Source organism: Homo sapiens, chromosome 5 (genome assembly GCF_000001405.40).
Source record: "Homo sapiens chromosome 5, GRCh38.p14 Primary Assembly".
In the NCBI taxonomy this organism is placed as follows: Eukaryota; Metazoa; Chordata; class Mammalia; order Primates; family Hominidae; genus Homo; species Homo sapiens.
In genome coordinates this window covers 138,735,104-138,760,147 of record NC_000005.10, presented here as the reverse complement: position 1 = coordinate 138,760,147, position 25,044 = coordinate 138,735,104, and the positions used below count along the sequence as shown (strand labels likewise).

General features: G+C 47.6%; 1 protein-coding gene and 1 long non-coding RNA gene across 11 annotated transcripts in view, besides 6 other annotated features; one reads left to right on the top strand and one right to left on the bottom strand.

Moving 5' to 3' along the window:
* Nucleotides 1-6,723, bottom strand: part of CTNNA1 (catenin alpha 1) — a 181,610-nt gene extending 174,887 nt beyond the window's left edge. For 6 of the 9 annotated variants that reach the window (NM_001290307.3, NM_001903.5, NM_001323985.2 and 3 more), the window contains exon 1: nucleotides 6,638-6,723. The gene's annotated coding sequence lies outside the window, so the exon portion shown is untranslated. Of the gene's footprint in view, nucleotides 1-4,984; nucleotides 5,455-6,049; nucleotides 6,327-6,637 lie in introns of those variants that run through there. The other 3 variants (NM_001323982.2, NM_001323984.2, NM_001323983.1) reach the window with 3 other exon arrangements.
* Nucleotides 5,556-6,122: an enhancer, noted in NCBI's record as "H3K27ac hESC enhancer chr5:138089715-138090281 (GRCh37/hg19 assembly coordinates)". NCBI's record gives its function as "activates a minimal SCP1, AML or CMV promoter by ChIP-STARR-seq in primed H9 embryonic stem cells {active_cell/tissue: H9 hESC(primed)}" and the evidence as "EXISTENCE:reporter gene assay evidence [ECO:0000049][PMID:30033119]".
* Nucleotides 6,123-6,690: an enhancer, noted in NCBI's record as "H3K27ac hESC enhancer chr5:138089147-138089714 (GRCh37/hg19 assembly coordinates)". NCBI's record gives its function as "activates a minimal SCP1, AML or CMV promoter by ChIP-STARR-seq in naive and primed H9 embryonic stem cells {active_cell/tissue: H9 hESC(naive and primed)}" and the evidence as "EXISTENCE:reporter gene assay evidence [ECO:0000049][PMID:30033119]".
* Nucleotides 6,123-6,833: a biological region, named in NCBI's record as "H3K27ac hESC enhancer GRCh37_chr5:138089147-138089714".
* Nucleotides 6,224-15,718, top strand: CTNNA1-AS1 (CTNNA1 antisense RNA 1). Of its 2 annotated transcripts, none has more exons than NR_134244.1 (2): nucleotides 6,224-6,625; nucleotides 15,386-15,718. It is a non-coding gene; the product is annotated as a CTNNA1 antisense RNA 1 (long non-coding RNA). The 2 variants fall into 2 exon arrangements; NR_134245.1 differs by lacking the exon at nucleotides 6,224-6,625 and adding an exon at nucleotides 6,839-7,096.
* Nucleotides 6,394-6,833: a silencer, noted in NCBI's record as "silent region_16404". NCBI's record gives its function as "represses an Ori minimal core promoter by ATAC-STARR-seq in GM12878 lymphoblastoid cells {active_cell/tissue: GM12878}" and the evidence as "EXISTENCE:reporter gene assay evidence [ECO:0000049][PMID:35858748]".
* Nucleotides 17,376-17,675: an enhancer, noted in NCBI's record as "active region_23215". NCBI's record gives its function as "activates an Ori minimal core promoter by ATAC-STARR-seq in GM12878 lymphoblastoid cells {active_cell/tissue: GM12878}" and the evidence as "EXISTENCE:reporter gene assay evidence [ECO:0000049][PMID:35858748]".
* Nucleotides 21,032-21,171: a silencer, noted in NCBI's record as "silent region_16403". NCBI's record gives its function as "represses an Ori minimal core promoter by ATAC-STARR-seq in GM12878 lymphoblastoid cells {active_cell/tissue: GM12878}" and the evidence as "EXISTENCE:reporter gene assay evidence [ECO:0000049][PMID:35858748]".

The window sequence follows — 25,044 nt, the reverse complement described above, 5'->3', positions numbered from 1 at the left end:
GTGGCGCATGCCTGTATCCCAGCTACTCAGGAGGCTGAGGCAGGAGAATCGCTTGAACCCGGGAGGCGGAGGTTGTGGTGAGCCAAGATCGCGCCATTGCACTCCAGCCTGGGCGACAAGAGTGAAACTCCATCTCATAAAAAAAAAAAAAAAAAAAAAAAAAAAAAGGAAAGAAATTCTGGGAGAGGATTCCAGATTCTAAAACAGCAGAGTAGGAAGCACCAAGATCAGTCTCCCCACCTAGACAATTACACTGGCATAATTAGTCAGATGTAATTCTGGGGACTGTTGAAGAAAGCTTGCAACTTCCAAGGAAAGACTGGGACAGTAAATTGGGTTAATTTCAGTCAATTTCAGCCCTTAGCTGAGCAGCAGCTACCCCATTCCCTAGCCCCCAGCCACGGGCAGACAACCTACAATGCATTCCTGAAACAGCTTGCAAGCAGCTTTTGGGAACCAGGATGGGTAATAAGGACCCTGTCCTCCAAATATTAGGGATCCGTATTCTAATTGCTGATTGCTGCTTATAATCAGGGATAGGCAGACACTGAGAAGGATAGCCATTATTGCACCCCCTCCATGACTGCAAGTCCTCCCCCTCCAGCTGAAGTAGACTTCCAGGAAATTTAATGGGCCAAGGGCCCCCACCTCCCTACTTCCTTCATTTTTCTCTTTTTCCTCTTTAGGAGCTAGACTTTAAAGACTAGGATATTCAAAAGCAATCATGAGGGTGCGGGGGAGATAAGGAAAAAAGTTACCATGGTGCATGCGCCCAGGGAAAGGTGCAGGCTCAAAAAAGACCTGAGAAGTCCTTAAGTTTGTATCTCAGGCTGATCCTCAGCATAAAAACAAACTGTAACAAATAAACAAAAAAATCCAGCAAACCCTGGGAATGAGAAGAGTCCAATTTTCAGAGTTAGCACATCATTAGATTCAAATGTCCAGTTTTCAAAAAAAAATTAAAAAGTCCCAGGTCATACAAAGATACAGGAAAGTATGACCCATTAAAAGAAAAAAAAAATTAACCAATAAAAACTGTCCCAGTTGCTGGGCACGGTGGCTCATGCCTGTAATCCCAGTACTTTGGGAAGCCAAGGCTGGCTGATCACCTGAGGTCAGGAGTTCAAGACCAGCCTGACCAACATGGAGAATCCCTGTCTCTACTTAAAATACAAAATTAGCCAGGTGTGGTGGCGCATGCCTGTAATCCCAGCTACTCAAGAGGCTGAGGCAGGAGAATCGCTTAAAGCCAGGAGGCAGTGCAGTGAGCCAAGATCACGCCATTGCACTCCAGTCCGGGCAACGAGAGCAAAACTCCATCTCAAAAAAAAAACAAAAACTGTCCCAGAGAAAGACCAGATGGAAGACCTACTAGACAAAGACATTAAAACAACTGTCTTACAGATGTTCAAAAAACTAAAGGAAGGTATGGGAAAAATCAAGAAAATAATGTATTTTAAAAATAAAAATATCAGCCGGGTGTGGTGGCTCACACCTGTAATCCCAGCACCTTGGGAGGCCGAGGTGGGCAGATCACGAGGTCAAGAGATCAAGACTATCCTGGCCAACATGGTGAAATGCCATCTCTACTAAAAATACAAAAATTAGCTGGGCGTGGTGGCATGTGCCTGTAGTCCAGCTATTTGCGAGGCTGAGGCAGGAGAATCACTTGAACACGGGAGGCAGAGGTTGCAGTGAGCCAAGATCGTGCCACTGCACTCCAGCCTGGTGACAGAGCGAGACTCCGTCTCAACAACAACAACAAACAAACAAAAAAAGTTAGCCGGGTGTGGTGGCAGGCGCCTGCAGTCCCAGCTACTAGGGAGGCTGAGGCAGGAGAACGGCATGAACCCGGGAGGCGGAGGTTGCAGGGAGCCAAGATCGCACCACTGCACTCCAGCCTGGGTGACAGAGCAAGACTCCATCTCAAAAAAAAATAAAAATAAATAAAATAAATAAAATTAAAATACCAGATTAGCCAGGTGTGGTGGCACATGCCTGTAATCCCAGCTACTTGGGAGGCTGAGGCAGAAGAATCACTTGAACCCAGGAGACAGAGGTTGCAGTGAGCCGACATCACGCCATTGCACTCCAGCCTGGGCAACAAGAGCAAAACTCCATCTCAAAAAAAAAAGAAATAGGAGAAAAAAAGAATATATTACACATAAGCTGAGGACTGCATGGAGAGGATTTCATCAGTGATTAGATCTGGGTGGCAAGGAAGAAGAATGGGCTGTAGATGGTTCTCAGTTTGCCCAAATTTGTTATTGGAGGCCCTCCATAATCTGACTGTTGCCTCATCTGTTATCATTCCATCCACAAGCTAGACTCCAGGCAGAAAAGACTTTTTCCTCCTTCACTCAACAAGCATCTAATTTGCCCTCCATGCCAGGTACTAAGCACCAAGACAAGAACTAAGACTCTCAGTTCCTGCCTTCAAGGAGCTTACAAGGCTCCCTTCCTAGCAGTAAAGGCAAACAGGTACATCAATAATAACGTACAGCATAATGTAATGCACCACCCAGTGCTAAAAAATTTGCTACCAGAAACGAAAGTGCTGAGTCTTAAGATATGACTAAAAGCTCATCATGAAAGGTTATGTTGGGAGAGTAGAAGGGAATCACTGAGGAAGCAACTTTACCCTAGGCCCCCAACATCCAGTCCATTTTCTTTTTTTCTGAGTCAGGGTCTCACTGTGTTGCCCAGGCTGGAGTGCAGGGGCATGATCATAGTTCACAGCAGCCTTGAACTGTTTTTAAATACTGTATGCCTCAGCGGCATTACATATATTCACGATCCATTTCCAGAACTTTTTTCATCTTCCCAAACCGAACTCTGTACCCATAACAATAGCTCCCTATTCCCCTTCACCTGGCCCCTAACAACCACCATTCTGTTTTCTTTCTTTCTCCTTCCTTCCTCCCTCCCTTCCTCCCTTTTTTTCTTTTGTTTGAGACAGGGTCTCACTCTGTCACCCAGGCTGCAGTGTGACATGATCAGAGCTCACTGCAACCTCCACCTCCCAAGCTCAAGCAATGAATCCTACCACCTCAGCCTCCTGAGTAGCTGGGACTACAGAGCGTGTCACCATGCCTGGTTGATTTTTTTTTTTTTAGAGGCGGGGTCTCATAAAGTTGCTCAGGCTGGTCTTGAACTCCTAGCTTCAAGTGATCCTCCCAACTCAGCCTCCCAAAAAAACAGGATTATAGGCATGAGCCTCCCTGTCCAGCCCCAATCCATATTTAAGTCCTGTCTCATTTCTCCAAAATACAGCTCCCTTCATCCCTACCACCTCGTACTCCACCATCTTCCTAGCTCAACTCTCTGCTTCCACATGCACACAAACACAAGCCTTCTCCAAGCACTAGCAGGAGTCTTAAAAAGGAAATCAAATCATGAAACTCCCTACAATGGCTTCTTACACCTCTAGAATAAAACCCCAACATGGCCTCTGCCTTCTCTGGCAATCTCATGTGAGGTCTTCTCCCCACTGAAAAAGTACCCAAGCTATACAAGTCTTCTCTCAAGTCTCTAAACACACGGAGTCTTTCCTGTCTCAGGACCTCTACAAATGCAGAGGGCCCTGTTCCTTCTCTCCATATTCTCACCAGCACACAACACTACCCCCAACAATCAGGGCTGTCTGTTATGCCCCACAGTGAGTTACGTTCTCAAAGAAATCCGAAAGTGCGGTGGCTCACACCTGTAATCCCAGCACTTTAGGAGGCTGAGGCGAGTGGATCACCTGAGGTCAGGAGTTAAAGACCAGACTCACCAATATGATGAAACCCCATCTCTGCTAAAAATTAAAAAATCAGGCTGGGCACGGTGGCTGAAGCCTGCAATCCCAGCACTTTGGGAGGCCGAGGTGGATCACGAGGTCAGGAGTTTGAGACCAGCCTGGCCAACATGGTGAAACCCTCTCTATCAAAAATACAAAAAAATTAGGCAGGCATGTTGGCACACACCTGTAATCCCAGCTCCTTGAGGTTGAGGCAGGAGAGTTGCTTGAACCCAGGAGGCACGGGTTGCAGTGAGCCGCAATTATGCCACTGCACTCCAGCCTGGGAGACACAGCAAGACTATCTCAAAATAAATAAATAAATAAATAAATAAATAAGCCGGGCGTGGTAGCTTGCACTTAGTAATCCCAGCTACTCCGGAGGCTGAGACAGGAGAATCGCTTGAATCCCCAGGAGGTGGAGTTTGCAGTGAACTGAGATCACCTCACTGAACCCCAGCCTGGGCAACACAGGGAGACTCCATCAAAAAAAAAAAAAAAAAAAAAAAAAAAAAAAAAAAGAAGGAAATCCCAAAACCCGGGCAGGGCAGTTACCCTGGATCTCCACATCTGGTTCATGTCTCCAGAAGAGACAGGAGTCCCACTTTGGACACCTTGAGTTTGAGAAGCCTGGGACACCCAAAAAGCTTCCCAATGCACAGGTGACCATGTGGGTCAGGAGACACACCTGCACTCAAAGGCTTGGACTTTTAGCACATAAGGCTGATGACAGAAGAGACTGCACAGAGCAGTGATTCTCATCTTGGAGGAGGGTACCTCTCATCTCTAAGTCACTATATGAAATGAGATATCACTGATGGGAGTGAAGGTGATGCCACATCAGTGGTGTGGAGGACAAAGATACTTTGGAAAGAACCCTGGGTACGAGAGGAAAGAGTGAGGGCGAGGAAAAGAAAGAAACTGAGATGAGTCAAAAGGAAAAGAAAACCAGGAGAGTGATATCACAATTCCCCAAACTCCTATGCCCTTTTATGCTTCTCATGACTTTCTCCCTTCACTTAAAAAAAACTCGACTCATGTTTCATCCAGATCAAATGCCACCACCTCCTGAAAGCCTTTCTGGACTTACCCAAGTAAAACTTATTAGCCCCCTCTCCGTGCCTCTACAAGTTTCTTTTGTTGTTACTATTAGGTAAGATTTGACTCAGACAATAGTTTCATTAGTACTGTTAAGGCACTTACTGCAGTCCGCTCTGTACTACACCTGGGGTGTGTGTCTCCCCTATTACACTGTGAGCTCTTAGGTGGATTAAAAAATTATTCTTTCGCTGAATAAATATCCAGATGGGGTCAGGCACCCTGGCTCAGGCCTGTAATCACAACACTTTGGGAGGCTGAGGCAGGAGGACCACTTGAGCCCAGGAGTTCGAGACCAGCTTGGGCAAGACAGCGAGACACCATCTCTACCAAAAATACAAAAATTAGACGGATGTGGTGGCGCGTGCCTGTAGTCCCAACTACTTCGGAAGCCGAGGTGGGGGGATCACTTGAGCCCAGGAGACAGAAGCCGCAGTGAGTCATGATCGTGTCACTGCGCTCCAGCCCGGGCGACGGAGACCCCGTCTTTAAAAAAAATGTTTGTTCAAAAGTCCAGATTGGTAAATAATTAGGCAGAAACTATAGGTAACTCCTACACTCATTCTTCATTCTTCCTGTAAAACAAAATAACACATCCTAATTAATTCGATTTATAAATTCCGTTCCTTAAAGTAACACCCACCTGTCCAGTATTTAAAAATCACTGCTGACTAAACACAAATATTCGCTCCACAAAATGCCTATCCTGTCCCAACAATGATGTAAGCATTTCCTTCATCATAAATATAAAATGCCCCGAATTTAGTCGTAGACTTGACATATCTCGCTCTTTTCCAAATAATTGTAAATTCTGTACAAAACACACGCACCAAAAAAATGTCACCAAGATGCAAGAGGACGTAAGAGGGAGTCAACCTTGGAACTGGGCCAACCGCCGCCTGCATTACTGGGAAGCCACTGCTGCCAAGCAAAGGTCAGGCATTCATTCAGGCAACATTTTTTCCAACAAGTGCTTCACACTCGCACGCACACACACGCTCCTTTAAAAGTCAACAACAATTAAAAAAAAAAAAAAACCTCTCTAATGCCACTCCTGAAAACTAGGGCTGAAAGCTAAGTGCGTCCAACCGACAAGAAACCCAGGAAAGCTGAGTAATCCCCGAGTCCAAGTGGACGGTCACGCCAAAAGTCCACACGGGTGTGGCCCACCTACGGCGAAGCTGTATGGGAGAAGCCCGGGCTCCAGCCTCCCGGTTCGCCGAGCCCGCGTCCCCGCCGCCCCATCGGGAAGTCTCAGCGGCCGGGAAGGGGGAGGGGGCAGGAACGCCTCGGAGCCGGACGACAATCACTTCCCGGGAAAGCGGCTCCCAGACAAGCCGCCCCAGGGAAGGAAGGCGGCCGAGGGGCCCGGCGCGGGGCTGCCGCGCGCGCCGAGGCCGCGGTAACAAAGTTTGGAAACCGCGAGAAAACTTTTCCAAGAGGAAACGCGGCGGCGGCGCTGGGCCTATAGTTTCTCCTCCCCAGCCCAGGCGGCCCCCCGACTTCCCGAGCGCTGGGAAGCGCCGGCCGTGCCCGCCCGGGCCCCATACTCGGGCCCTGCGGGGGAAGGGACCGCCGGCCCGACGCGGGTCCCACGCCCGCCCGGGGCCCAATTCCCGGCGACGTCGCCAAAGAAACCGCGCCCCGCCCGCTCGCCCGCCCGCGGCTCGCGGGGCCCAGCTTGGGACGGCCCGGCCCAAGGACCCTCTCGGCCTGGCCCGAGAGACCGCGCCCGCGAGGAGGGAGGTACGAAGTTACCTGCGGCTAGCTGGGCGAGCGCTAAATTCCAGAGGCCCGAAGCAGACGGGCGCTGCTTTGTCTCCCTCCAGTCCGGCTAGGAGGAGGAAATGGGCCGCCCCACGCCCCCGCCCCCGGCCCGCCCCCCGCCCGCGGCCCCCGCCCCTGTCCCGGCCCCGCCCGCCCTTCCTGGCACCTCCCTCCGACTCGCTCTTCCCGGCGCCTCCCGCCGCCGCCCCGCCCGCTCCTCCCGGCCGTTCCGGCCTCCGCTTTTGGGGAAAGGGAAGGCCCCCACCGCGAAGAGAGTCTGGCAACGCCGGACCGGGACCCCCGAGGGACCTCTTCCTCCCCGCCGCCCACCTCAGAATTCCTTCCTCCCCGGCCCCTAGTGGGAGCTTAGGCCGGGAGTGACCCCTGAGAGGGAGGAGGAGCGGTGACTCCTGGAACAGCCCGCGGGCGGAGAGGGCTGCGCGAGGGCAGGTGAGTCACCGCTCCGCGCACAGGTGAGGCTCAGGGGCGGCCTCGCGCGGGCCCCCACCCCGGCGGAATCCCAGAGACGCGACCAGGGGTACTGGGCACGCTCCCCTCAAGAGTGTCACAGGTGTCCCGGAGTCACAGTCTTCTGGAAAAGTGATCTAGGCCAACTACCTGGCTTTACAGAAGGAGAAGCGGAGGCTAAGGAAAGGCCCCACAGCTTCGGGACACAGTGGAACTAGAATCTGACTCTCAGGACCTTTCATAATGTGAGGTGGAAGCGCCCCTAGAATTCACCTAACCCGTCCCCTCACTCCACAGATGGAAACACCCGAAGCCCTCTTGATCAAGGACTTTTTTTTTTTTTTAAGACGGGGTCTCCCTCTGTCGCCCAGGCTGGGGTGGAGTGTCGCGATCACGGCCCACTGCAGCCTCAAATCCCTGGACAACCGACCCTCCCACCTCAGCCTCCGGAGTAGCTGGAACTACAGACACAGAGTCTCACTATGTTGCCAGGCTGGTCTCAAACTCATGGGCTCAAGAAATCCTCCTCAGCCTCCCAAAGTGCTGGGATTACAGGCTAGAGCCACCTTGCGGGGAGGACATTTACAAACACAAAAGAGGCACCGCAGCAGCTGTCCCTTTTTGGGCTTGTTCCCGCCCCGCCCCCAGCACGTCCCCCCTCCCAGCTTGTCCCCCTCCTCCAACAAATTTGAGGGACCTGACTTCTATCTCTATTCCTCTGGTCATTTGGGGCATTTTATTCTTACCCTTTCTTATCTTCATAGTGAATACTCCAAAAACAAAAGAAAACAAAATTACAAAGCAAACAAACAACACAAAAAAACAAAAACTACTACATGCTCACTATCATCCTGGTATAGAAAACCCTAATGATGTTTCCCCTGCTCACGGGATGATGAATAAGATAGATTTCAGTATTGGCCTATAAACCTGAATAATGCAAGACGACGATGTCCACTGCTGGCCTTGTGCTGAATAGAGAGCAGGGTGCTAGGGAGACCTGCCCTTACCGTGTTTACCCTCTACTCCTCACATCTCCCTCTCCCCCAAGGGAATATAAACTTCTGGAAAGCAGGAGCTGTATCTCCTGCAGCACCCAGCACATTGCCCATCCCCTAGGGAGTGCCTAGTGAACATCTGTGGGTGAATGTGCCCACTGTAATTCAAAGTACTGTGGGCCTGTGCTAGTTAACAGATGCTGACAAAGGGCAATAGGACCATGAAGTGGGGAGAGAACAACCTTTAAGAAAAAGAGGATGGGCACAGTGGCTCACACAAGTAATCCCAGCACTTTGGGAGGCCAAGATGGGTGGATCACATGAGCTCAGGAGACCAGCCTGGGCAAAATGATAGAACCCTTGTCTACAAAAAAATACAAAAACATAGCTGGGTGTAGTGGCACCTACCTGTAGTCCCAGCTACTTGGGAGGCTGAGGTGGGAGGATCGCTTGAGCCTGGGAGTTCAAGGCTGCAGTGAACCATGACTGCACCACTGCACTCCAGCCTGGGCAACACAGTGAGACTCTGTCTCAAAAAGAAAAAGAAAAAGGCAAACCCTGACAAGGTCATTCTTGTCCAACTACCCCTGTCCTGTTTCTGGCTGCAGGGTCTTTGCTCCTGTAGTCTCCTCTGCCTAGAGTGGCTTTGGCGTCCCTCTACTTCACCTGGCTAACTCAGAACATAATTCATATATTTTGGATATTTGTCCCTGCCCAAATCTCACATTGAAATGTAATCCCCAGTGTTGGAGGTGGGGCTGGTGGGAGGCATTTGGGTAATAGAGGAGGATCCCTCATGGCTTGGTGCTGTCCTCCAGGTACTAAGGGAATTCTCATGAAATGTAGTCGTTTTAAAGTGTAGCACCGGCCAGGCACAGTGGCTCACACCTGTAATCCCAACACTTTTGAGAAGCCAAGGTGGGCGGATAGCTTGAGCCCAGGAGTTCGAGACCAGCCTGGGCAACATGGTAAAAACCCATCTCTACAAAAAAATACAAAAAAATTAGCCAAGCAGGCTGGGCACCGTGGCTCACGCCTATAGTCCCAGCACTTCAGGAGGCCAAAGCGGGCAGATCATCTGAGGTCAGGAGTTCAAGACCAGCCTGGGGCAACATGGTGAAACCCCATCTCTACTAAAAGTACAAAATTAGCAGGGCATGGTGGCATGTGCCTGTAATCCCAGCTACTCGGGACGCTGAGGCAGGAGAATCATTTGAACCTGGGAGGCAGAGGTGGAGCCGAGATCACGCCATTACACTCCAACCTTGGCAACAAAAGCAAAAGTCTGTCTCAAAAAAAAAAAAAAAGCCAGGCATGGTGGTGTGTGCCTGTAGTCCCAGCTACCTGGGGGGCTCAGGTGGGAAGATCACCTGAGCCTGGGGAGATTGAGGCTGCAGTGAGCCATGATTGTGCCACTACACTCCAGCCTGGGCAACGGAGTGAGACCCTGTCTCAAAAACAAAAAGATGTGGCACCTCAGCCCCCTCCTGCTCCTGCTTTCAGCATGTAATGTGCCTGCTCCAGCTTCACCTTCCACCATGAGTAAAAGTTCCCTGAGGCCTCTCCAGAAAGTAGAGCAGATGCCCAGGCCTTGCTTATACAGCCTGCAGAACCATGAGCCAATTAAACGTTTTTTCTTTTTTCTTTTCTTTTTTTTTTTTTTTTGTGTGTGTGTGTCTGTGTGTGACGGAGTTTCACTTTTGTCACCCAGACTGCAACCTCTACCTCCTGGATTCAAACGATTCTCCTGCCTCAGCTTACCAAGTAGCTGGGATTACAGGTGCACACCACCACGCCCGGCTAATTTTTGTATTTTCAGTAGAGACGGAGTTTTACCGTGTTGGCCAGGCTGGTCTCGAACTCTTGACCTCAGGTGATCCGCCTGCCTCAGCCTCCCAAAGTGCTGGGATACAGGCATAAGCCACCGCACCCGGCCTGTTTTTTCTTTATAAATTACACAGTCTCAGGTATTTCTTTTTAGCAGTGCAAGAACAGCCTAACACAATAGTAATCAGTCAATAAAGTATTTGGATAAAGTAACAAGAGACAGAGTTAAAGGATTATGCTCCATAACTTTGTATATTCATCATTTCACTCGGGACAAGATTCTTAATTTTAAGGCCCCTTGTTCAAAAACTATTAACCATTTTAAGACAGCAACAGCAGAGTATTAAACCAAGCATGGGCTCTTTCTTTATTATTATTATTTTTTTATTTTTATTTATTTATTTATTTATTTTTGAGACGGAGTCTTGCTCTGTCACCAGGCTGGAGTGCAGTGGTGTGATCTCGGTTCACTACAACCTCCGCCTCCTGGGTTCAAGCGATTCTCCTGCCTCAGCCTCCCAAGTAGCTGGGACTACAGGCGCCTGCCACCACGCCCAACTAATTTTTGTATTTTTAGTAGAGATGGGGTTTCAGCATGTTGGCCAGGATGGTCTCAATCTCTTGACCTTGTGATCTGCCTGCCTCAGCCTCCCAAAGTGCTGGGATTACAGGTGTGAGCCACTGCGCCCAGCCAGCATGGGATCTCTCTAAGCATGGGACCCTGAAGATGAAATTACAGGGTTTGTTTTGGGAAAAGAAGGGTAAGGTGACAGGAAGATATGAGAGATTTGCAGTGTGCCTAAAGAGAGTCAGTTTCCTACTCCTGAGAAATCGTGAAAAGCTTACCAGGGAAGGCTGGAGCATTCTCTATATCCCAGGCACTTGCTGTGTGCTGAGGAAGTGAATAAAAACTGAGACTGACTTGATCCCTGTTTTCACACCACTTAAAGGTAATGATGAAGACAGATACTAAAACAGGTAAACTGACTGGGCACGGTGGCTCATGCCGGTAATTCCAGCATTCTGGGAGGCTGAGGCGGAGGATCGTTTGCGTTCAGGAGTTGGAGACCAGCCTGCACAACATGGCAAAACCCTGTCTTTACAAAGGATACAAAAATTAGCTGGGTGTGGTGGCATGCACCTGTAGTCCCAGCTATGTGGAGAGGGCTGAGGTGGGAGGATCACTTGAGCCAGGGAGGTGGAGTTTGATGTGAGGCGAGATTGCACCACTGCACTCCAGCCTGAGCAACAGATTGAGACCCTGTGTCAATACACACACACACACACACACACACACACACACAGGCACACACGTAAACCAGGAAAAAAGAAAGGCAAGTGTGAAGATAGGGGAGAGATACATGTAGGTTTGTGGGTAAATTAACTACCCTGGGATTCGGAGACCTGAGAAGTGACCTTTATGTGGTGACTCATCTCCAGTCTGGCTTTAGCATTCGCCTTTCCACCAAAACTGCTTTTATGAAGGTCCCTGATGGCCTCCACGTTGCAAAATCCAATGGTCCGTCCTTCCTCAGTTGACTTGTACAATCAGCAGCATTTGGTCACTCTCCTCCTTGAAACACTTTCTTCATTGGGCCTCCAGGGCACCAGGCTTTCCTGATTTCCATCCAGCCTTCCTGGCTAAGCTTCTTAGTCTCCATTGATGATGACTTCTAATTCCTCCTAACCTCTAAATGTTAGAGCAGGGATTCTCAAAGTATAGTCTGGACATCACTGATAACTTTTCAGGGAGTAATGTGGTAAAAACTATTTTCACAATAATTCTAAAATATCATTTGCTTTTTTATGCTCATTTTCTCCCGGGTGTACAGTAGAGTATTCCACAGGCTAAATGATGTATGATGTGGCATCACATGCAATGTGAAAGCACATATGAGAATCCAGCTATCTTTTATTAAGTCAGATAGAGATTTGTAAAAATGCAAAACAACAACAGTTCTCCCTGAATTTTTCTTTTGTTTTAGAAAACATGGTTATTTTTCTTTTCAAAAATGTTATTTATTGATAAGATGTAATGGACTTGCTATTGTTATTTTTTAATGAATTAATAAATATTTTGAAATTGTTTATTTTAATTTCTAATACAGGGTCTTGCTCTGTTGCCCAGGCTGGAGTGCAGTGGTGCTATCATAGCTCAGTGTAGCCTTGATCTCCCAGGTGCAAGCAATCCTTCCACCTCAGCCTCCCCAGTAGCTGGGACTACAGATGCACACCACCACGTGTGGTTAATTTTTAAATTTTTCTTTTGTAGAAACAGGGGTCTCACTCTGTTGACCAAGCTGGTTTTGAACTCCAAGCCTCAGTGATCCTGCTGCCTCAGCCTCCCAAAGTGTTGAGATTACAGGTGTGAGCCACCCTGCCAGGCCTATAGTAAATATTGATAGATAAAACTTTCATAAGCAAGAGTTCTTTGAGATCTTCAAATTTTTTATAGTGTAAAGGAGTCTTGAGATCAAAAAAAGTTAAAAACTTTGGCTGGGTGCGGTGGCTCACACCTGTAATCCCAGCACTTTGGGAGGCCGAGGCGGGTGGATCACCCAAGGTTGGGAGTTCGAGACCAGCCTGAACAACATGGTGAAACCCCATCTCTACTAAAAATACAAAAATTATGGCCAGGCGTGGTGGCTCATGCCTGTAATCCCAGCACTTTGGGAGGCAGAGGTGTGCAGATTACCTGAGGTCAGGAGTTCGAGACCAGACATGGTGAAACCCCATCTCCTTAAAAATACAAAGTTAGCTGGGCATAGTGGTACATGCCTGTAGTCCCAGCTACTTGGGAGGCTGAGGCAGGAAAATCGCTTGAACCTGGTAGGCAGAGGTTTCAGTGAGCCAAGATCACACCATTGCACCCCAGCCTGGGCGACAAGAGCAAAACTCTGTCTCAAAAAAAAAAAAAAAAAAAAATTAGCTGGGTGTGGTGGCACATGCCTATAATCCCAGCTACTCCAGAGGCTGAGGTAGGAGAATCACTTGAACCCGAGAGGCGGAGTTTGCAGTGCACTCCAGCCTGAAGTTATAAATTTCTGTTAAAGTGTCCCAGGGCTCTGTCCTTGGACTTCTTTTTCTACTAATAGCTGTCATTAACCCATTGATGCCAGTCTTTTGACTTGAAATATGCTGACAACTCCAGGTATATATCCCTAACCTGAACCTTTCCCCTGAATTTGCAGCTCACTTATCCAGCTCCCTACTTGATGTTTCCACTTAGATAGCCAATAGGCATCTAGGCATCTCAAACTTTATCTTATTTTTGAGCCAGGGTCTCACTCCATCACCTAGGTTGGAATACAGTGGTTTGATCATAGCTCAATGAAGCCTTGATCTCCCAGACTCAAATGATCCTCAGCCTCCCAAGTAGCTGGGACTACAGGTATGTGCTGCCACGCACAGCTTTTTTTTTTTTTTTTTTTTTTTTTAGTAGAGATGAGGTCTTGCTATCTTCCCCAGGCAGGTCTCAAACTCCGAGCTCAAGTGATCCTCCTGCCTTGGCCTCCCAAAGGATTACAGAAATTAAATGGCATGAGCCACCATGCCCAGCCCATCTCAAACTTTATATGTCTGTATGTCCAAAACTGATTTCCTAATACCACTGTCCAAACCTACTTATCCCATAGTTTTCTTAATTTCCTTAGATGGCAACTCCATCCTCTCATTTTGGCCATGGCTGAGGCCAAAAACCTTGGCGTTATCCTTGGCTATTTTATTTCTTGCATGCATTTCAAATCTGATTCCTTAGACCCTGTACTTCTGCCTTCGAAATAGAGTCAGAACCCACTAACTTTTTTTTTTTTTTTTTTGAGACGGAGTCTCACTCTGTCACCCAGGCTGGAGTGCAGTGGCGCAATCTCGGCTCACTGCAACCTCCACCTCCCAGGTTCAAGCAGTTCTCCTGCCTCAACCTCCCGATTAGCTGGGATTACAGGTGCCCGCCACCACACCCAGCAATTTTTGTATTTTTTTCAGTAGAGACGGGGTTTCGCTGTGTTGGCCAGGCTGGTCTCGAACTCCTAACCTCAAGCAATCCACCCACCTCGGCCTCCCAAAGTGCGGGGATTACAGGCATGAGCCAACGCACCAGGCCCAGAAGCCACTAACTTTTTACTATCACCATTGTTACCATCCTGAATCAAGCCACCATCATCTCTTAGCCTCAATTTTGCCAGGGGAGCCCAACTGGTCTCCCTACTTCTGCACTTGCCTCCCTCAGTCTAGTTTAAGTTCAGCAGCCTGAGTGATCTTGTTAGAAAGTAAGTCCAAGTGGCCAGGCACAGTGGCTCATGCCTGTAATCCTAGCACTTTGGAAGGCTGAGGCGGGCGGATCACGAGGTCAGGAGATGGAGACCATCCTGGCTAACACGGTGAAACCCCGTCTCTACTAAAATACAAAAAATTAGCCAGGCGTGGTGGCGGGCACCTGTAGTCCCAGCTACTTGGGAGGCTGAGGCAGGAAAATGGCGTGAACCAGGGAGGCAGATCTTGCAGTGAGCCCAGATCGCACCACTGCACTCCAGCCTGGGCGACAGAGCGAGACTCCGTCTAAAAAAAAAAAAAAAGTCCAAGCATGTCACTCCTGCTCCACCCAGACCCTCCAGTGGCTCCCATCTCACTCAAAGTACAGAGAAGTGAGGGCCTTATAAGGGCCTCACTTGCCCCGATACTCTTCTCTGACACAGTGTCCTCTTTGCTATCAAGTAGGCTCTTGCCTTAGGGCGTTTGCTTCCTGCCTGGAATGCTCTCCTCCAAATAGCTGCCTGACTTGCTCCCTCACCTCTGCCAGGCACCTTCTCAGTGAGGCTTCCGCTTGGCCACCTTATTCAGAATTGCAACCCGTTTCTCAACATCTCACCCCCCTCTTCCTTGTTCAGTGTTTTCCTTAGCTTATATCACCCTCCTGATATATAAAATCATATTTTAAAAATATATATTTAATACATATTTAAAATTTAAAATAGTCATATATGGTATATAATTTATTGCTTTTCTTCTGTCTTATTCCTGTTAGAATTTCAGCCACACAAGGGCTAGAGTTTTTGTCTATTTTGTTCAGTGCTGTATCCCTGGTGCCTAGAATAGTGCTTGGCACGATGTTGACAAGGTAGATGGGGAGGGAAGGAAATAACTTCATTTTAGACCAAGGGAACAAGGAAGGTTGAAGGCCCCGAGTCCCATCTAGGAAAAACTTTCTGTGATTTGGGAGCTGCTGAGGTAGGTAGAGGCCAGACTCGGGAGGGCTTGGTGAGAGTTTAGACTTGACCCTTAGGGGAATGGAGAACCACAAAGGATTCTAAACAAAGGATGACAGGATCATATTTTGTTTTTTAAAAAAATTCACTTTGGAAGAAAGAAGATAGTGAAGCAATGCACATAATATTGCATTTACGTTTGAACAGCATATACATATTATCTTAATGCTCTTTTCTCATAGTGGCAGAGCCATTGAAAACACACCACTCTATTCAGAACCCCTCCAGAAACACTGAGTACGCGTGGATACAAAGGAGAAAACCGAAGACACCTGGGCCTACTTGAGAGCGGAGGGTGGGAGGAGCGTGAGGATCGAAAAACTACCTATGGCTTACTACGCTTATTACCTGGGTGACAAAATAATCTTTACACCAAACCCCCATGACATACAATTAATTTATCCATGCACATGTACCCTCTGAACCAAAAATAAAAGTTGGAAAGTAAAGGAAAAAAAAAATCACCCTCCAGTGCTTCCCATCTCACTCTGAATAAAATTTATTTGATCTCACCCAGTCATCTCAGACCCGTCTTTGGCTTTTTCTCTCTATCTTTCCATTCAAGCCCACGTTGTGGTCTAGACATTCCTGTAAGGCATCAAGCACCCTCAGACCTCAGGGCCTTTACCTTTCCAGTTCTCTCTGCTTGGAATGGTCATCCCTCTGATAGCCCTTAGTCACTCCATCACCCAGATCTCTGCCCAAATGTCACGTTGTCCAACAGGCTTTCCCTGACCACTCTGTAAAATAGCACCAGCAGCCAGTCACAGAGGCTCATGCTTATAATCCCAGCACTATGGGAGGCCAAAGTGGGAGAATCACTTGAGCTCAAGAGTTTGAGACCAGCCTGAGCAACATAGCAAGAAATTGTCTCTATGAAAAATTTAAGAATTAGCTAAGTGTGATGGCATACACTTGTAGTCCCAGCTACACAGGAGGCTGAGGCAGGAGGATCACTTGAGCACAGAAGGTCACGGCTGCAGTGAGCTATGATTGCACTACTGCACTCCAGCCTGGGCAACAGAGTGAGAGCCTGTCTCAAAATTTAAAGAAATAAAATAAAACCAGCACCCATTTCCCTTTCCTCCTCCCCATTTCATTCCCTTACCCTAATGTACTTCAGAGCACTTACAACCACCTAACACGGGTCCCCAAACCCCAGGCAACAGACTGGTACAGGTCTGTGGCCTGCCAGGAACCAGGCTGCCCAGCAGGAGGTGAGCAGCAAGTGAGGAAGCATTAAGGTCTGAGCTCCACCTCCTGCCAGATCACGGCGGCATTAGATGTTCGTAGGAGCATGAATGCTATTGTGAACTAGGCTGTGGGCTCCTTATGAGAATCTAATGCCTGTAATGCCTGATGATCTGAGGTGGAACAGTTTCATCCCAAAACCATTCCCCCTGCTCCCACAAAACCAGTCCCTGGTGCCAAAAAGGTTGGAGACTGCTGACCTAACACATTGTATGGTTATTTATTTATTGTCTGTCTTCCCTCAATAAAATGTAAGATTCATTAAAGCAGATATTTTCTCTTCTGCTCACTGGTTTTGTTTTGTTTTTTGATATGGAGTCTTACTCTGTCACCCAGGCTGGAATGCAGTGGTGCGATCTCAGCTCACTGCAACCACCGCCGCCCGGGTTCAAGCAATTCTCTTGCCTCAACCTCCCAAGTAACTGGGATTACAGGCATGCAACACCACACCCGGCTAATTTTTGTATTTTTCGTAGAGACAGGGTTTCACTATGTTGGCCAGCCTGGTCTCAAACTGCTGACCTGAAGAATCTTCCCACCTCGGCCTCCCAAAGTGCTGGGATTACAGACATAGGCCACTATGCCCGGCCTCTGCTCACTGTTATAACTCTAGCACCTAAAGCAGTGCCTGGCAGTTAACAGGAACTCAGTTGAATTAATGAGTAGTTAAGTCTGTGAGGATACACAGCAAATGTTCCAGTAGTTAAACAAAGGGAGGGGAGGGGAGTAGAGTAGAGCAGAGGGGTCTTTAAAACAGATTAGATGGTTTAGAGTACATAGTGTAGTATATAGTATGTAAGTGTCGTGGGGATGGAAAGAAGTGGATAGATTTGGGAGCTACGCAGAAGAACAGAGGAGCCTAGGCCTTGCCGATGGATTGGATATGGAGGTTCTGGGAAAGGAGAAGTCAAGAATCATCTTCAGGTTTCTGATTTGATCAGTGAGGAAATAGTGGTGCCATTTACCCAGAGAGATAGAGAAAGAGCCCTGGAGGTAAAGCTTGTGGGGAAGTGGGTGGAGAGTCATGCAGACAGTTATTTTTGGTCATGCTTAGTTTCAGTGCCTACCAAACATATATGAGGAAATGTTCTATAGACAGGGAAATATCCAGACGTGAGCTCAGGAAAGACCCAGTGTGGAGAGAAAGATGTGTAAGTCACCTGCACTTAGAGAATGTGTGCTAGGAAAGCATGAAGGTCCAGACCCAACATTTAAGAGAAAGAGAAACCAAAACAGGAGACTGTGTTGCCCTCTGCAACACCAGAGCCCTCCTTTTTGCCTAAAATGCATCAATTCCTTTCCCACATCAGGATCTTTCCATTTGTTGTACTCTCTACTTGGAAATCTCTTTGCCTTAACTCTTCACCAGCCTGGCTCCTTCTCATTCCTGAGGGCCAGTTTCTTTCCTTTTTTTTTTTTTTTTTTTTTTTGAGACGGAGTCTCATTCTGTCACCCAGGCTGGAGTGCAGTGGCGTGATCTCAGCTCACTGCAAGCTCCACCTCCTGGGTTCATGCCATTCTCCTGCCTCAGCCTTCCGAGCAGCTGGGACTATAGGCACCTGCCACCATGCCCGGCTAATTTTTTTTATTTTTAGTAGAGATGGGGTTTCACCGTGTTAGCCAGGATGGTCTCGATCTCCTGACCTCGTTATCTGCCCACCTCAGCCTCCCAAAGTGCGGGATTACAGGCATGAGCCACCGCGCCCGACTGAGGGCCAGTTTCTATATCATCTGGTCAGAGAGGCCTTTCCTGACCACACCTCAAACACCCCAGTCTCTCTCTACCACATCACTGCATTTTTGTTCTTTATAGCACTTGTTCTGCTCTAGAATTGTCTTGTTTGCCTGCTGGTTTATTTTCTGCCTCCTCCATTAGGAGGAGCTCCATAAGGACAAGAACTTGTCTCATTTTTTGATTTCTTTGCTCCCATAATTTAACACAGGGCCTGAAACATAAAATGCACTTTAAAAATATTTGCTGAAAGAATATGGGCTATAGACGTAGGAGAAAAATCAAGTGTCATTAAAGCCAAGGACTTGGTCACTGATTTCAATTGATGGCATTTGGGTTGAAACTTTAGATTTCAACTTACTTTAGGTTGCCGAACATAATGCCCATACCCACCAAATTTAAGGCTGTGCCAAGAATATTAAGGAAAAAACAAAACAAAAACCCTATCAAAGATCATTTTAGAGATTCTCTACATCATGAGGACTTTGTTATTATTTACCTACCTGTCATAATTGTTTCATTATCATGCTGGTAAATAGCTTCACAGTTTAAAAAGCACTTTCCTGGATATTGTCTCATTTGAGGCACTCCAAACCCCTAAGAAAGGTACTCCACAACTTTTTTTTTTTTTTTGAGACAAAGTCTCACTCTGTTTGTTGCCCAGGCTGGAGTGCAGTAATGCTATCTCAGCTCACTGCAACCTCCACCTCCAGGGTTCAAGCGATGCTCATGCCTCAGGCTCCTGAGTTGCTGGGATTACAGGTGCGCGCCACCACACCCAGCTAATTTTTGTATTTTTAGTAGAGACATGGTGTCACCATGGCTGGTCTCAAATTCCCAACCTCAAGTGATCTGCCCTCCTCCACCTCCCAAAGTTCTGGGACTACAGGCGTGAGCCACAGTGCCTGGCCTCCACAAGTCTGTAATCCCAGCAGTTTGGGAGGCTGAGGCGGGTGGATCACGAGGTCAGGAGACTGAGACCATCCTGGCTAACAAGGTGAAACCCCGTCACTGCACTCCAGCCTGGGTAACAGACCAAGACTCTGTCAGAAAGAAAGAAAGAAAGAAAGAGAGAGAGAGAGAGAGAGAGAGAGAGAGAGAGAGAGAGAGAGAGAGAGAGGAAGAGGAAGGGAGGGAAGAAGGAAGGAAGGAAGGAAGGAAGGCAGGCAGGCAGGCAGGCCGGCTGGCCGGGTAAGATGGTTCATGCCTGTAATCCCAGCACTTTGGGAGGTGGAAGCAGGCAGACCACTTGAGGGCGGGAGTTCCAGACCACCCTGGCTAACATGGTGAAAGCCTGTCTCTACTAAACAAACAAACAAACAAAAATTAGCTGGGAGTGGTGGCGCACGTCTGTAGTCCTAGCTACTCAGGAGGCTGAGGCAGAAATCACTTGAACCTGGGAGGCGGAGGTTGTAGTGAGCCAGGATGGCGCCACTGCACTCCCCCAGCCTGGGCAATAGAGGGGACCCCATCACAAAAAACAAAAAAAAACAAAACAAAAAAAGAAAGGTAGAACTAAAATGAGTAAAGATGTCGGAATGATGAAGACAAGAGCTGACTTGGCAGCTTTGTAATGAAGATTGGAAAATCTTTACTCGTGGCCACGAAGTGGTGAGCACCCCCTCCGCCAATTAAGTTCCATAGAAAAAGTTAAAGGGACTCTTGGTTTAGCCTGAGGAAAGCCAGCAAAAGGAGTTAGATTTAGACAAGAGTCAGTAAAAACAAAAGGTAAAACCAAAGTGTGGGCCACATCAGGGTTAGCCAATGCCTGATGGCCCTGGTTGCCTTTCAGTTTATTTTCAGATGAGTGGGAGAAAAGCAGGGGAGGCCTGCCCACCCTAGTTTTGTCTGTTGGTTTAGTTAACATCAGAGGATTTCCTCATTTCTGTAGAGCCCAGTAATTCTCAACTCTGGCAGCACACAAGAATCACCTGGAGAGCTTTTAAAAAATATGATACTCAGGCACCACCCCCAGGACTCAGATTCAATTGTTCTTCAGTAGGAACTTAGCATTTTAAAAAATCTCCCTGGGTGATTCTAATGTGCAGCCGGAGTTGAGAATCACTGATACCTAATATAAGCCTGAGCAGAAAACAAAGTCATGTATACCTAAAACTTATTAATTCATTTGCTCATACAATAATTAACACACTCGATGAGTAAAAATAATAATAGTTCATATTTACTAAGTCTTTGATGTATGCCAGGCTCTGTGCTAAATGCTTCATATTTCTTTATTTTTTATTTTATTTTTTTTGAGACAGAGTCTTGCTCTGTCACCAGGCTGGAGTGCAGTGGCGCGATCTCGGCTCACTGCAACCTCCGCCTCCCAGGTTCAAGCAATTCCCCTGCCTCGGCCTCCTGAGTAGCTGGGACTACAGGCTCACGCCACCACACTTGGCTAATTTTTTTTTTGTATTTTAGTAGGGATAGGGTTTCACCATGTTGGCCAGGATGGTCTCGATCTCCTGACCTCGTGATCCGCCCACCTCGGCCTCCCAAAGTGCTGGGATTACAGGCAAGAGCCACTGCTCCAGGCAAAGTGCTTCATATTTCATCCAGGCCTCTCAACAATCCTACAGTAGTTAATGTTGTATTCCTCATTCTATAAATAAGAAAACAGAGACTTAGGTCATGCTGAGATTATGTGGCAGTGCTGGGGCCCAGATCTGCCAGAATCCAGAACCACCCTCTTTTTTAGTTGTTGTTGTTTTTTCGAGATGAAGTCTTGCTCTGTCACCCAGGCTGGAGCGCGATCTCAGCTCACTGCAACCTCTGCCTCCCGGGTTCACGCCATTCTCCTGCCTCAGCCTCCCGAGTAGCTGGGATTACAGGCACCTGCCACCACACCCAGCTAATTTTTGTATTTTAGTATAGACAGGGTTTCACCACATTGGCCAGGCTGGTCTTGAACTTCTGACCTTGTGATCCACCCACCTCAGCCTTTCAAAGAGCTGGGATTACAGGTGTGAGTCACTGCGCCCAGCCCAGAACCATGCTCTTAACCACTCCCACTTAGCCTCTGAAATGTCAATGGGTTTTTAAAAATCTTTCTTGAAAAGCCACATTCAAAATAGTTTTCCTGTCAAGACGATACCATAATGGAGGTGATTTAAATGCCTCGTTTTTATGCTATATACGTCTTGTCTTTTTGCACAGCTTCAAGCGGTCTGACAGGTGGGGCTGTTTGGGGAGTTAGGGGGTCCCAGGACGAGGGCTTCACTTGCATCCCTTTCAGGCCTCTTCTAACAGAGGATGCCATTGGCTTTACCCAGTGAGTTAAATTTTAAATAAAAAGAACCAAACTTAGGCCCTTGACACTTATGAAAGATGTGTAAGCTTCTCTTTATTCATGTTATTCATCTTCCCTGTAGAAACTAGAATCAAGATTTAGTTCTTAAAATCAGTCAGCAGTGGGTGTTCATGATTCTTCCCTTTCTGATATGATCAAAGATGTGTACATAAAAACAAACACTTCCCGCCCCTTTCATGCTCATATTTTTGTTGATAACAAAGGAGAAAAAGAACCTAGGGGGGAAACGTTAAAGACTGTGACAACCAAGCAAAATTATATCTGAAAAGAAATAGTTTTAAAGGAGAGAGGGTTGGAGGAGGAGGTATGTGTTTTTCTTCTTCTCTTTAAAGTATCAGTGGGCTTTATTTTGGAAACCTGGCTCTTTGTATTCACCATTGTAAAAATTCTTTTTTTGTGTGGCATTTTTAGATTTTTATAGGGGTAGGAAATGTGCTATCAAAATAAGAATTGTCTCATGGTAATATAAACCAAATTAAATTAATACATTTTAGATTTCAGATGTATTGGTGAATGAGTCACCTGTCTTCTTTCATTGTTTCTGTTGCCTAACAACAATCTCTTGTGAATTCCAAGACACTTGGAGAAAAAGAAAACCTTCTGGAACAGAGCAAAGAGGTACATCTGCCAGGAATCTTTACATGCCCCCGTAGATCCCTGTATGGACACTCTGAATACAGGTGGACTTAAAGTAGAAGCCAGCCCAGCCTTTGGTTTTGGTTTTTGCATACTGAATTTCATTATGGGTTGACTGGAGTCAGGTGGCATGAGCTGGCCCTGGGATTCCCAGATTCCATGAGCTCACAGTGGAGTCTGGCAAACCTAGATTCCTTCCTGGCTCCCTCCATCAGTTCTTAGCAGTCCAGTTTCTCTTTTTCTTTAAGCACAATAAATCACTCTTCTGTCTGCCTGCAAGTCTGGCAGCACCTGCCCTCTATCACAAAAAGCTATTATCATATTCATTCATTCATTTGTTGACCCAGTCAACAAATATTTTGGAGCACCTACTATGTGCTGTGCATTGTACTGAGCCAGGAGATACAGTGGTGAACAGCCTTCATGAAATGTACACTCTGCTCTGTCACCCAGGGTGGAGTGGAGTGGCACAATCACGGCTTACTGCAGCCTCAACCTCCTGGGCTAAAGCAATCCTCCTACCTCAGCCTCCTGTGTAGCTGGGACTACAGACATGCACCACCATGCCCAGCTAATTTTTGTATTTTTTTGTAGAGACAGGGTTTCACCATGTTGCCCAGGCTGGTCTTGAACTCCTGGACTCAAGTGATCCGCCCCTCTTGGCCTCCCAAAGTGCTGGGATTACAGGCGTGAGCCACCGCACGAACTTGGCCTGTGTTTTTTAAGACCACTTTGCTGTATAAAGAATAAAGTATAGGCCGGGCGCGGTGGCTCACGCCTGTAATCCCAGCACTTTGGGAGGCCGAGGCGGGCGGATCACGAGGTCAGGAGATCGAGACCATCCTGGCTAACACGGTGAAACCCCGTCTCTACTAAAAATACAAAAAAAAAATTAGCCGGGCGTGGTAGCGGGCGCCTGTAGTCCCAGCTACTCGGGAGGCTGAGGCAGGAGAATGGCGTGAACCTGGGAGGCGGAGCTTGCAGTGAGCCGAGATCGCGCCACTGCACTCCAGCCTGGGCGACAGAGCGAGACTCCGTCTCAAAAAAAAAAAAAAAAAAAAAAAGAATAAAGTATAAAGTATAAGAGAACATGAGTGAATGCCTGTCATCTTTTTTTTTTTTTCTTCAAAAACAGGGTCTCACTTTGTCACCCAGGCTGCAGTGCAGTGGCGCAATCATGGCTCACTGCAACCTCTAGCACCTGGGCTCAAGAGCTCAAGAGGTCCTACCAACTCAGCCTCCCAAGGAGCTGGGACTACAGGTGCATGCCACCACACCCTAAGGTAAATTTTTGTGTTTTTATAGAGACAGGTTTTACCATGTTGCCCAGGCTGTTCTGAAACTCCTGGGCTTAAGGGATCGACCCACCTCCATCTCCCAAGGCACTGGGATTATAGGCATGAGCCACCGCGCCTGGCCTATCATCATTTATTCATTTATTCATCTATGCAAAAATATTCTTTGAGTGCCTAATTGCTAAGCAATGGGACAAGCACTGGCAAGTCACACTGGCAAAATATCATCCCGCCACTCAAGGAGCTTATAGGTCAGCTGGGGAGACAAAGAAGAACATGGGCCCTTGTAATGAGCTAAGTATGGTGCTAGGGGAAATATCCATATGTTATGGGAACCCAGAGGAATTCATTCATTTATTCGTTTAGTAAATATTTATGTGCCAAACTCTTGGGACCCAATGGTGACCTAAGCAGACAAGACACATCCACCTACAGTGTTTACAGAGTAGTGTGGGAGACAGACATTAATGAAATGCTCTTACAGACCTATCATTACCTATTGTCATATGAGTTATGAAAGAAAAATAACAGGCCAGGCATGATGGCTCACGCCTGTAATCCCAGCACTTTGGGAGACCAAGGCAGGTGGATCACTTGAGGTCAGGAGTTCAAGACCAGCCTGGCCAACATGATGAAACCCCATCTCTACTAAAAATACAAAAAAAAAAAAAATTATCTGGGCATGGTGGCAGGCAGCTGTAATCCCAGCTACTCGGGAGGCTGAGGCAGGAAACTCGCTTGAACCTGGGAGGCAGAGGTTGCACTGAGCTGAGATTGCACCACTGCACTCCAGCCTGGGTGACAGAGCAAGACTCTGTCAAAAAAAAAAAAAAAAGAAAGGAAGGAAAGGAAGGAAGGAAGGAAGGAAGGAAATAGAGTGTAAGAGGGGGGCCTAGTGTAGTCTAAGATGACTCAGGAGAAGCTGTTTGAGCTGATGCCTGAAGACGGGTTGCATGTAAGTAGTTGAGTAGGTAAAAGAGAGGGGTACTATCATATCAGGGATTCGGGAGAAAAAAAAAGAGAGAGAGAGAGGGGAAGAGTGCTGTGGACCCATTGAGCTCCAGCCCAGCTCCAACTCTGTGGGTCAGGAAAGACTTTCCAGCATCTAAGCTGAGTCCAGAAGGATGAGTAGGAGTGAGCCAGCTGAGGAGGAGCTGGGGTGGAAGGAAAGCATTCCAGAGCAGCAGATAGCTTGTGCAAAGGCACACAGGCAGCTGGGTGTGGTGGCTCACACCTGTAATCCCAGCACTGTGGGAGGCCAAGATGGGTGGACCGTTTGAGCCCAGGAATTCAAGACCAACCTGGATGACATAGTGAAACCCTGTCTCTACCAAAAAAAAAAAAAAAAAATTGAAAAAAAAAAAGAAGCTGGGCATGGTGGCGTGCACCTGTGGTCCCAGCTACCCAGGAAACTGAGGTGGGAGGGAAGTCGAGGCTGTAGTGAACCATGGTGGCACCATTGCATTCCAGCCCGGGTGACAGAGCAAGGCCCTGTACAAAAAAAAAAAAAAAAAAAAAAAAGCATGGAGGCAACAGAACATAGTGGATTGGAAGGAAAAACAAGTGGTTCAGACCAGGTGCAGTGGCTCATGCCTGTAATCCCAGCACTTTGGG